General features: G+C 46.1%; 1 protein-coding gene across 9 annotated transcripts in view; it reads left to right on the forward strand.

Moving 5' to 3' along the window:
• PRXL2A (peroxiredoxin like 2A) overlaps positions 1-12,551 on the forward strand; it is a 29,287-nt gene extending 16,736 nt beyond the window's left edge. For all 9 annotated transcript variants that reach the window (NM_001243779.2, XM_011540266.3, XM_017016775.2 and 6 more), the window contains exons 4-6: positions 1,302-1,442; positions 2,768-2,932; positions 7,422-12,551. In NM_001243779.2, the coding sequence (NP_001230708.1) occupies positions 1,302-1,442; positions 2,768-2,932; positions 7,422-7,535 (420 nt within the window). In that variant the 3' untranslated portion in view covers positions 7,536-12,551. The remainder of the gene's footprint in view (positions 1-1,301; positions 1,443-2,767; positions 2,933-7,421) is intronic.
• Positions 12,552-12,734: the final 183 nt, after the last annotated feature.

Below are 12,734 nucleotides of genomic sequence, written 5' to 3' on the forward strand. Positions count from 1 at the left end.
AAGACTCAAAAAAAAAAAAGGCCAGGTGCAGTGGCTCACACCTGTACTCCCAGCACTTTGGGAGGCCGAGGCAGGTGGATCACTTGAGGTCAGGAGTTCAAGACCAGCCTGGCCAACATGGCCCATCTCTGCTAAAAATACAAAAAATTAGCCAGGTGTGGTGGTGCGCCCCTGTAATCCCAGTTACTTAGGAGGCTGAGGCGTGAGAATCACTTGAACCCAGGAGGTGTAGGTTGCATTGAGCTGAGATTGTGCCACTACACTCCAGCATGGGCGAGTAGCGTGGGCGACAGAGCAAGACTCCATCTCAAAAATAAAAGACCTTTCATATCACAAAAAGGTGGTTTTTGATTATATCAAACACTGTAGTCCTCTGCTCTAGGGCAAAATTTGCCAGTCAGTAAAACTCTTGATAAATGTATTGTAATCAATTCTGCCTCATTAGTTGTTTTTTTTCTTACTCTAGAAAATAAATGAAAAATTAAATGTAGTTGCAACCATACAACAGCATATTTGTATTGGAGATGAGTAGACTGCATTTAAAAGGATTTTTGCTCATTCTTTAATTCTGACACCAAATGTGAAAAAAGGATTGAGTTCTTAATGTTGAAGCTTTACCATGACTCATGCAGTTTCCCTCATTCATCTAGCACACAGTTCCTGAGAGTCAAGGGTATCTGCATCTCAGCTCAGCTGCATTCTCCCCATTGTCCCCCTTCAAATCTTTCCACCTGGTATTTAGCACCTGTTTTATACCCAGCCATGTTCTAGGCACTGAGGGTTCCAAGAAATGGAAGACATAGTTTCTAACTATTAGAAACATTTGGGAATGTAAGAGACAACACTCAACTTAGTGGTAACATGCAGACTCAGTACAGAAAATGTCACCAAACAGGGAAGATAGGATATGCACAGAGAAGCAGGGCTTTACTTCAGGGTGGACTAGCCAGGGAGATCTTTTTAGAACGGGGATACCTTTCCAGAGGGTAGGGTTGAGCTGAAGAGAGAAGGAAGGTTATGGCTAGAGGAGCGTGTGTCTGCTGGGCCCTTGTGTTAGTTTGGTCTAGTGCAGGGAAGGGGCTGGGAGATGATGTAGGAGAGAAGCATTGTGGGCAGGAGGAGAGGATGTGTTTGGGTATGGCTGCTCCCAAGCTGTGGTTAGGACAGCCATAACAGGAGCCTTGCCTCTGCTTTCCACTGGAGAAGACAAGGAGCCTGGGCTGCAGAGGGAACCTGACACCCTATGTGGAGGCCCACAGCCAGCTGGGACAGATGTCCCTGAACCCTTGTGTCTTCTACAGGAAGCTGCGGATCTGTCCTCCCTGAAAAGCATGTTGGACCAGCTGGGCGTCCCCCTCTATGCAGTGGTAAAGGAGCACATCAGGACTGAAGTGAAGGATTTCCAGCCTTATTTCAAAGGAGAAATCTTCCTGGATGAAAAGGTGTGTGTGATGGGAGGCTTTTAGACACAGACTGCTGGGGATTGTGCTCAGCTGTGTGATAGTCAGGTGGCCCAGGTATGTCTGGCCTGGAGCTGGAGGCTGGCCTTCCCTTCAGCTGTCCTGAACTTGCAAGGCCTTTTTCAGCCCCCTGAGCAGAGCATGATCAGACATTTTAAAGCTGTCCTCTCAGTTACAGACAGTCCCTGACCATCTGGTGGTTTGACTTAACGATCTTTCAGCTTTGTGATGGTGCAGAAGTGATAAGCATTTAGTTTCTACATTTCTTCAAGAACCCATACAGCCATTCTGTTTTTCACATTCAATATTCAATAGACTACATAAGTTATTCAACACTTTATTTTAAAATAGGATTGTGTTACATGATTTTATTCAACTGTAGGTTAATAAGAGTGTTCTGAGCATGTTTAAGGTAGTGTAGGCTAAGCTATGAGGTTAGGTGTATTAAATGCATTTCAATATAAGATATTTCAACTTATGATGGGTTTGTAGGGACATAATCCCATTGTAAGTTGAGGAGCATCTGTATTACTTAAGTCTTTCCTGCCATGTGAACTGGGAGAGTAGGAAATAGCTGAAACTCCAACAGGTTCCTCCACTGTTGGGGGCCTAGTACAAAGCCCCACACCCTGTCCCTTAATTCATTTATTTCTTTCTCTTCTGCTCCCACCTCTGCAGAAGGTAGCACTGTTACCATCCTGTCAGGTGGAAGACTAGTGAGAAGGTAGAGTCAGAATTGAAAGCTACGGATGTCACCCTAGGTCAGGCCTACCTTGAGGTCTGAAACTGGACCCAGCAGGGTTCTGTTTTCTTGGCAGTTGAGAGTGGACCTGGATTGGCTGGGCATGGTGGCTCATGCCTGTAATCTCAGCACTTTGGGAGGCCGAGGTGGGCAGATCATTTGTGGTCAGGAGTTCAAGACCAGCTTGGCCAACGTGGTGAAACCTGTCTCTACTAAAAATTCAAAAATTAGCCAGGCATGGTGGCAGGCACTTGTAATCCTAGCTACTTGGGAGGCTGAGGCCAGAGAATTGCTTGAACCTAGGAGGTGGAGATTGTAGTCAGCTGAGATCGCGCCGTTGTACTCTAGCCTGACTGACAGAGCAAGACTCCATCTCAAAAAAAAAAAAAAAAAAAGAGTGGACCTGAATGTGGGCAGTGTGTGTGTGTTGGGTGGGAGAGAAGACTGGAACCAGCAGCCTTTTGAGTCTTTGCCTGAGAACCAATGCCCCGTCAGGAGCGTTTCCTCCTTGAGGAAGGCAGGCATGTAGAGTACTCATATGGGATCTGTCTTTCTCACTCCATAGAAAAAGTTCTATGGTCCACAAAGGCGGAAGATGATGTTTATGGGATTTATCCGTCTGGGAGTGTGGTACAACTTCTTCCGAGCCTGGAACGGAGGCTTCTCTGGAAACCTGGAAGGAGAAGGCTTCATCCTTGGGGGAGTTTTCGTGGTGGGATCAGGAAAGCAGGTGAGTTCTTGGTGTTTACTTGTGGTCTGTAGGTGTCTGTGTCTGTGAGTGTGAGACTCCAACCAGAAGCTGGAGTGGGGGTTGACTTTCCCTGTTTTGGGTCTCCTAGCCTTCCTTCTAGCAAGCCAGGGAACATGAAGAAGGGAAGGGAAGGCAGTTGTTGTTTATCACACATCATTCTCTGCTAGTACCTCATACTTGAATCTACTCACTCATCACAGTGACATCATGAGACAGTTTGATCATTTTGCAGACAAGGAACTTAGAACTGAAAAGGGATGAGCAGCTGCACAAGGAGCACAGCTCATCGGTGGCTCTGCTAGGCCTGAACTCAGGTTTGCTGACTTTAAGTTCAAGGAGCACAGCTCATGGGTGGCACTGCTGGGGCCTGAACCCAGGTTTGCTGACTTTAAGTTTTGTTTTCTGTGCTTGAACAAAAGCGTAGTTTTATTCTGTTTTTGAATTTACTCTCTTGCAGTGTTCCAGGCCACCATGGATGGATGATAGAAAAAAAAATAAGAGGAGAAAATAAGGAATAGAACCAGGCGTAATTAGGGGAAGTGGCAAGGAGGTTGCGGGGAGACGATGCTTTTTTCTGTGGGGATCTTGGTGTCAGGGCTGGCCTAGGAAAGGTATCTGACTCCTCTGCAAACAGGCTATTATTATAGGTCCTGGCTGTGAGGCTCCACAAGCAGCATGGAGCCCTAGGGGAAGGTGTGGAAAGGAGGAATGGGGTCTCTATAGGCCCAAGAGCCAGGTAGGCAGTTGTTTGTGTCAGAGTCTAGGCAGCCTTGAGCCATGGTGGTTCCCCTGCCCTGGAGGGCAGTGTCAGCAGAGGCCAGGAGGATGTGTAGCAGGGATGGAGCAAAGTGGATGAGGGGGCTGGGCGCGGTGGCTCACACCTGTAACGCCAGCACTTTGGGAGGCCAAGGCGGGCGGATCACTTGAGGCCAGGAGTTCCAGACCAGACCAGACTGGCCAACATGGCAAAATCCCATCTCTACTAAAGAAAAGCTTAAAAAATTAGCCGGGTGTAGTGGTGCGCACCCATAGTCCCAGCTACTTGGGAGGCTGAGGCAGGAGATTTGCTTGAACCCAGGAGGCAGAGGCTGCAGTGAGCTGAGATTGTGCCACTGAACTCCAGCCTAGGGGACAGGGCAAGATTCCATCTCAAAAAAGCAAGTGGATGAGGGAAGGGTATGGGAGAAGGACCTGGAAACTGGTGGCCTGACTTCTAGGCCTGTCTCTGTCAATTTTGGACATGACATTAACGTGTAGAAAGTGTTTTCTTTCTGTAGAAAGATGGGGTTTATCTGCATTGTTGGATCTCACTATTAATGTTGATAATTACATACTCTTCCCAATTTGGGAGGAATAAAAGGGAATAGAAATCCTTCAAGTTTAAGCTTTATTTCTTTTTTTTCAGATGGAATCTCACTGTGTTGCCCAGGCTGGAGTGCAGTGGTGCGATCTCGGCTCACTGCAAGCTCCACCTCCTGGGTTCACGCCATTCTCCTGCCTCAGCCTCCTGAGTAGCTGAGACTACAGGCACCCACCACCACACCCAGCTAATTTTTTTGTATTTTCAGTAGAGACAGGGTTTCTACTCATGATCTGCCCGCCTCAGCCTCCCAAAGTGCTGGGATTACAAGCTCACGCCTGGCCTGAGCTTTATTTCTTATGTCTTCCTTTTACAGCTTGGTAACTGATTCGCTTGACTATATTAGAATTTAGCATAAAATGGTGTCTGATTTAACATAAACCTATTTGCTAATTTTCTGGTAAATCTGTCAAAGTGTCTTAGTAATAATGGTTTCCAATGAGTGCCTGTCTTGTTCTACGTGCTCAAGTACATGGTCTCATGTCTTCCTCACAACCAGTCTAGGATGTTAGGCATTTTTATTCCCATCCACATATACAGCAGTTGGCCTAGAGATTTAAAATAACTCAGCCAAAGACACAGCTAAGTGGTACAATGGAAATGAAACTTAGGAACTCAAATCTGTCAAACTCCAGAGACCCTTCCCGGCCCGGCCCTGCCCTGCCCCGCCCCGCCCCTAGCCTCTCCTGCCCTGCCCTGCCCCTAGCCTCTCCTGCCCTGCCCTGCCCTGCCCTGCCCCTAGCCTCTCCTGCCCTGCCCTGCCCCTAGCCTCTCCTGCCCTTCCCTGCCCCTAGCCTCTCCTGCCCTGCCCTGCCCCTAGCCTCTCCTTGGAGGTGTTTCCCAGCGACCACTTCCTGATGTCCTTATGCTTGGGCAGGCCACTTCCCCAGTGGATTGCCCATCCTCTTCCCACTCTGACAACGTGGGGTTCCTTCCCCTACCCGCCTCTGCCTTCTCATGGCCTCTAGGGCAGGGCTTGGCATGCCTGCCAGCCTTTTCTTGCCTGGCGATGACTCATCTGGTGCTCATGGGCCCTACTGGCATGTTTCTGATGTTGCTAGGTGTGTTTGACTTTTGTTCGTATTCCCTGGAGCCCCTGGCCTTCATTCTCCTAGGCGGAAGGTTAACTGGCTAGCTGAACTTCAGGACTTACTTCAGTTCTTGTTGGGTGTAGAGTTTTTGTAGTCTAAAATTGGGGTGGTGGGGATTTCCTTTTTTTTTTTTTTTTTTTTTTTTTCTGGAGACAGAGGTTCACTCTTGTTGCCCAGGCTGGAGTGCAATGGCACGATCTCAGCTCACTGCAACCTCCACCCCCCCGGGTTCAAGCGATTCTCCTGCCTCAGCCTCCCGAGTAGCTGGGATTACAGGTACCCGCTGCCATGCCCAGCTAATTTTTGTATTTTTAGTAGAGGCAGGGTGTCACCATGTTGGCCAGACTGGTCTCAAACTCCTGACCTCAAGTGATCTATCCACATTGGTCTCCCAAAGTGCTGGGATTACAGGCGTGAGCCGCCGCACCCTGCCTGAATTTTCTTTTTAATAATAATCTTGAAAGCATTCTTAAAGAAGAAGCAGCTGGGCAACATAGCAAAACCCCATCTCTATAAAGAATAAAAAAGTTTAGCCGGCGTGGTGACATGCACCTGTAGTCCTGGCTACTTGGGAGGCTGAAGCAGGAGGATTTCTTGAGCACAGGAGTTCAAGGCTGCAGTAAGCTATGATCGCACCACTGAACTACAGCCTGGGAAACAGAGCAAGACCCTGTCTGTAAATAAATAAATAAAAAGTGTGTTTGCACTACAGAAAATTTAAAAACAGCAGAACATAGAAGGTGGGGAAAACCATCCTATGAGCTCAGCCACCGTGGAAAATCCACTGGAACAAAGCTGAATGGCCTTTCCTTTTGTTTTGCTTTGCTCTAGAAAATTGTACTAGATGTTCTTTTTTCATTTAACAGTATATTGTGAACATTTTCCTATGTCACTATATATTGTTAGTTTTTTGTTCGTGTTTTTGTTTGTTTGTTTGTTTAGATGGAGTCTTGCTCTGTCGCCCAGGCTGGAGTGCAGTGGCGCGATCTCGGCTCACTGCAACCTCCGCCTCCCAGCCTCCCAGGTTCAAGGGATTATCCTGTTTCAGCCTCCTGAATAGCTGGGACTAAAGGCTTGAGCTACCGTACCTGGCTAATTTTTGTATTTTTAGTAGAGACCGAGTTTCACCGTGTTGGCCAGGCTGGTCTTGAACTCCTGACCTCAAGTGATCCGCCCACCTCAGCCTCCTAAAGTGCTGGGAGTACAGGTGTGAGCCACAGCACGCAGCCTATTAGTATTTTTAATGTCTGTATTATGGTTTACTGAGCAAGTAAATATAATTTTCTGATCTGCTTGCCCATAATCTCTGCAGTGTGGTGGGCCTTTTTTTTTTTTTTAAGTCTTTATAAATAATGACACAGTGTATTTACAGATTTTCTTTTTAAGATGAGTTTCCAGATGTAATGAATCAAAGAACTCTAACAAGGATTCCTTGATGCTGATCTCAAACATGTTATTTTGTCTTTTTTTTACTACCTCCAACTTTAGATAACTTTGGGGTATCTTGTGTCTTAGTGCATTTTTTTTCACTGTATGAGAAGAAAGTGGCTTCCAGTTTCTTAGAAGACTAAAGAAAAATGAGGGTCTCTCTTTTAGATGGTCATTCAGTGCCTTCCAAAGTCTAACCTCTGAGCTCCACTTCCACACCTTTGGGCCTTTCTGTGTTAGCTTCATTTTTTTCTCTTCACCTGGTATGTTCTTTTACCTGCATCTCTACTTGTAGACATCCTGGTTACCCTCCGTGCCTCTGTGAGGCCTTCCCTGATTGCCCTTGTCATGCTTTATCACTTCTGACTTCCTGCTTCTAGAGCTGCTGGTACAGGCCAGATGGATGTGGCCTTCTCCGGTCTATCTTCCCTCAAAGACTGAACTCCTTGAGGGCAGGAGCCAGGCCATATTTGGATCTGTGTCCTTTGCTATTCAAGCAAAAGGCTTGACAGACAGCTGGTCCTCGATGCCTGTCTCATGAACGAACGATTTAGGATGAGGACTGACATTATCTCTTGTTTCCTTTTAGGGCATTCTTCTTGAGCACCGAGAAAAAGAATTTGGAGACAAAGTAAACCTACTTTCTGTTCTGGAAGCTGCTAAGATGATCAAACCACAGACTTTGGCCTCAGAGAAAAAATGATTGTGTGAAACTGCCCAGCTCAGGGATAACCAGGGACATTCACCTGTGTTCATGGGATGTATTGTTTCCACTCGTGTCCCTAAGGAGTGAGAAACCCATTTATACTCTACTCTCAGTATGGATTATTAATGTATTTTAATATTCTGTTTAGGCCCACTAAGGCAAAATAGCCCCAAAACAAGACTGACAAAAATCTGAAAAACTAATGAGGATTATTAAGCTAAAACCTGGGAAATAGGAGGCTTAAAATTGACTGCCAGGCTGGGTGCAGTGGCTCACACCTGTAATCCCAGCACTTTGGGAGGCCAAGGTGAGCAAGTCACTTGAGGTCGGGAGTTCGAGACCAGCCTGAGCAACATGGCGAAACCCCGTCTCTACTAAAAATACAAAAATCACCCGGGTGTGGTGGCAGGCACCTGTAGTCCCAGCTACCCGGGAGGCTGAGGCAGGAGAATCACTTGAACCTGGGAGGTGGAGGTTGCGGTGAGCTGAGATCACACCACTGTATTCCAGCCTGGGTGACTGAGACTCTAACTAAAAAAAAAAAAAAAAAAAAATTGATTGCTGTGCCTCATTACAAATGCATATGATGTTTGAGTGCTGTTGTTTGAAATTATTTTTCTTTTCGGGTCTTCAAAAATTCAAGAAAAGTTGATGATTGACTTGAAGATTACAAAATTTAAGGTTTTTTGGCATGTGTGTTTTCTATTAATAATTGGTTATATGATGTCAAAGTAATACTTTCATAATAGAATTGACATGCTCTGGGATAGTTTGACAAAGGTAAATTATAAAGTGAAATCTCTTGTTTCATTATCTTCCATTCTAACCTCAGAGATCTGTTTCTCTAGAAAAAATGTCCATCTCTGGCTTTAATAAAATTATGCATCAGAAATCACCTGTATGTATAAGATTTTCTGATAAAACTAATAATTATATTTACCATATAATTGGCTGAAAGTAAAAAAAGTCAGCATTCTCCATGGCTGAGGGGTAAAGTGCCTCGGGGGATTCCTCTGGTTCTAGCTATCTAAGTGGTTTGAAAATGACCAGGAAAAATTCATCCTGTCATTCACGTTAGTAATTTTGCTGTCTTTCCTAGAGGAATGACTTTGGTGTTTAAAATTGGTAGCTGTTTTTCTATTGGTCTTTTAGCCTAATTTGGCAAATCAGAAGAAAGGACATAGAGATGATGAAATATAACTTTATCTTTTTTGTTTGAATTTTGTCGTGTAAGTTTGAGTGACATCATCAAGACCTACCAGGGAGCTCGGCCACAGGGAGTCTACTCAAGGCATCAAACTGGCCCAGGAGTAGAAAGGTGGGGGTGGAAATAGGAAATAGTGTTTACCCAGGGGACTGGCCCAGCCAGGAGGAGAAAGGAATCAGTGTTTACCCAGGAAAGCAAGAATGGATACTGATGTTGGAGGTAAAGCTGGGAAAGTAGGAGAGCATCGGGATTGAGTATGCAGAGTGAGTTAGGGTTGAGTGGTTCGGGACTAAGACCCACTAAGACCATGCCTGCACCTGACTTCATGTAGCAGTGGTTGCATGGGGTATGCATGGGCCCTTAAAGGGCTGGGCTTCTGCAGCATTTGAGGCCATAGCCTTTGGTACTTGCACAGGGTTGGTACCTGTCATCCTTGGGACTCCAGCTACTGATAGGATAACTCAGTACCTAAACTTAGAACTTTAATACCTAAGACACTTGATGGTGAAACAGTTCTCTTGCAACTAAAGAAGAACCTGAGGTCAGGTGTGGTGGCTCACGCCTGTAATCCTAGCACTTTGGGAAGTCGAGGTAGAAGGATCACTTGAGGTCAGGAGTTCGAGACCAGCCTGGCCAGCATGGTGAAACCCCATCTCTACTAAAAATACAAAATATTAGACAGACGGGGTGGTACATGCCTGTAATCCCAGCTACTTGGGAGGCTGAGGCAGGAGAATCGCTTGAACCCAGGAGGCAGAGGTTGCAGTGAGCCGAGATCGTGCCACTGCACTCCAGCTTGGGCAACAAGAGCGAAACTCCATATCAAAAAAAAAAACCTGAGAGGACATTGCACCAATGGAGATGCATCAAGAGAAACATGTTTGGTTTTTTGTGAGCTCTCACCAACTTTTTTCCCCTGGGTCCTCACGTGCAGTGTGGTCTTCTCTTTCTGATTAGCATGTCATTTTGGAAAGAGCACTGGATTGAGTCATGAGGCATAATCAATTTCTAGTTTACCAGTGTGATCTTAAGCAAAGATCTAACTCATTGGCAAAATGGGCGTGATTCCTTCCCATTCAGGGCTGTTTATGATAAGTCACTGAGGGAATGATAAATATTATGACACTGCTTCTCAGACTGTAATGTACATGCACATCACATAAGGACCTTATTAAAATGGAGACTTAAAAAGCTGGACGCTAAAGGCAATAATGACAGATTTTACTCAATAACTACTGCAGAAGGAGAGAGTCCTCAGTATAGAACTGAGCTTAGCTCCAATCTGTGCAGAGGTGATGGAATTTTAAAGAGGGGAGGGAGGAGGTTCAAATAGAACTAGGGAAGTGCAAAATTACAAAAAGCTGGTAAGGAGATTGGTCAATGTGATTCGGCTATCTGTGTCTACTAACTCTCAAATTTATTTATCAAAGTTAGGATCCTAGCCTCCCACAGAGACCAGGAGTCGGCCTTATCATTCCTGATAATTATATGACAAAGGGATGGCTCCCAGAAAAAGTGAGAAACACATTCCTGTGCAGCAGAAGATACATATATCCCCCAAAGGGACAGAAAGGATTTACAATTGTAAATTTTATAAAGTATGTCCTCTAAGAAGAGGGAGGGACTGGGTGCCATGGCTCATGCCTATAATCCCAGCACTTTGGGTGGCCAAGGTGGGTGCATCACCTGAGGTCAGGAGTTCAAGAGCAGCCTGGCCAACATGGTGAAACCCTGTCTCTACTAAAAATACAAAAGTTAGCCTGTTGTGGTGGCGCGCACCTGTAATCCCAGCTACTCGGGTGGCTGAGGCAGGAGAATCGCTTGAACCCAGGAGGCGGAGGGTGCAGTGAGCCGGGATCACGCCACTGCACTTCAGCCTGGGTGACAGAGTGTGACTCCATCTCAAGAAAAACGAGGGAGATTAGAAACCTATGATCAGGCATTGGCTGAAACAAATGGTAAATTCTTTTGGCAGCCTTGAGCTTCCCCAGGCAGGGACCCAAAGGGGCCTGGGTTATCCCTGAGACAGGGCCTTGAGCTGCTAGAAACTATGCTAGTGTTTGTTCAAGTCTCTCCGTGTCCGGGGTGAGCAAAATTGTTTGTGCTGAAAATCAATGATTTGCAGCTCTCAAGATTCCAGTGGGCAGTCTGGGTGGGCCTGAGTTTCTGCTTTTTTTTTTTCTTTATGTACAGGGTCTTGCTCTGTCACCTAGGCTAGAGTGTAATTAGTGGCCCCAGTCATGGCTCACTGCAGCTGCAAACTGGCTGCAAGCTGTTCTGGCTCAGCCTACCAAGTTACTGGGCTTACAGGTGGATGCCACCGTACCCAACAGATTTTATTTTTGTAGGGATGGGGGTCTCCCTGTATTGCCCAGGCTGGTCTCAAACTCCTGGCCTCCCAAAGTGTTTAGATTACAGGTGTAAGCCACCACACGTGGCCAGCCTCTGCATTTCTAACAGGTTCCAGGTGATCTTGATGTTCTGCTGGTCCATGGGTCACACTTTGAGAAGCATGGTTCTAAAGGACTATACAGATTAAAGTCATTAATCTCTGTGGGCTTTGGACTTGAAGTTTCAGCAGCCTTTGACAAGCATTTGCAGGTTTCCTTTTTATTTATTTGATAAACTGAGAATCCACATGCAAAGAAATGCAAGAAAATTCAAAGAACGTAAGAAAATGTCCTTGCTGTAAAGCTGGTGGTTCTCAATCTCGGATACACAGTAGAATCACCTGGTGCGGGGGTTGGGGGCGGGGTGCAGTGTAAAAATTATTAAATCAGAATCTCTGGGGTAGGCCCCAAGCAACTTTTTTTTTTTTTTTTTTAGATAGAATCTTGCTTGTCACCTAGGCTAGAGTGCAGTAATGCAATCATGGCTCACTGCTGCCTTAACTTCTGGGCTCAAGTGATATCCTCCCACCTCAGCCTCCCTAGTAGCTGGGACTACAGGCGTGGACTACCACACCCAACAAATTTTTAAATTTTTTGTAGAGGCAAGCTCTTATACTATCTTGCACAGGCTGGTCTCGAACTCCTGGGCTCAAGCAGTCATCCTGCCTCAGCCTTCCAAAGCTCAGGGATTACAGACATGAGCCACAGCACCAGGCCAACAATATTTCTTAAAGCTCCTGGAGTGATTCCAATATGCAGCCAAGGTTGAAAACCACCCTTTAAAAGGCTCGGCATCCAGTGTGGAAGACCAGCACACTCACGTCAGGAGACCTTACCTGGAGCCAGGATGCCCCTGATCATCTCTGATAACTTTAAAAGGAAGGCCTCAGAAGCAGCCCCAGAAGCAAAAGTTTCTCTCTGACCTTCTCCTGCCCTCTTGTTTCTGGCTTTTCATTCTCCCCCAAGGCTACCCATAGAAACTAGAATCCCTCTTCCCCAAGGCAGGTCATCAGAAACCAGAACCGGTTTTACCCAAAGCCAGCCATAAAACCTAAAAATAGTCCTCTCACTCCCCATTCCCCTTTCTGTGTAAAAACTGGTTGGAAAGAAATGATCTGACCTACCGTGTTTGACTGTCGTAAGATACCCATTCCAGAGAGGGTCCCACCCCGTGCCCAGAAGGAAGGAATCCTGCACAGAGAGGCCAAGAAGAATCTAGACAGCCTTGCTGGGTTTCCCCTCTCAGTCTATTACTATTAGATCATACCCTTCTTGTCCAATCATATTTCTACACAGTCCATAATCTGTTGAACCTAAACATAAAAATGGACAATTCCCCTGTATCTTGGGGTCTTCATTCTGAGGGCTCACATACAATTATGATCAAATAAATTTGTTTGCTTTTTCTCCTGTTAATTTGCCTCTTGTCAGTGATTTTTTCAGCAAGTCTGCAGCGGGTGAAGGGCGAGTTTTTCCTTGGCCCTAGCAGTGGCAAGGGTCACAGATGGTGTGGACAGGGGTGCATGGGGAACCCCCAGCTGGAGGAACTTCCAAGGCAGAGATTTGGATAGCGAAGCATGGCTAGGGGAAAACGGAGGA

This window comes from Homo sapiens, chromosome 10 (assembly GCF_000001405.40).
Source record: "Homo sapiens chromosome 10, GRCh38.p14 Primary Assembly".
NCBI classification, from domain to species: Eukaryota; Metazoa; Chordata; class Mammalia; order Primates; family Hominidae; genus Homo; species Homo sapiens.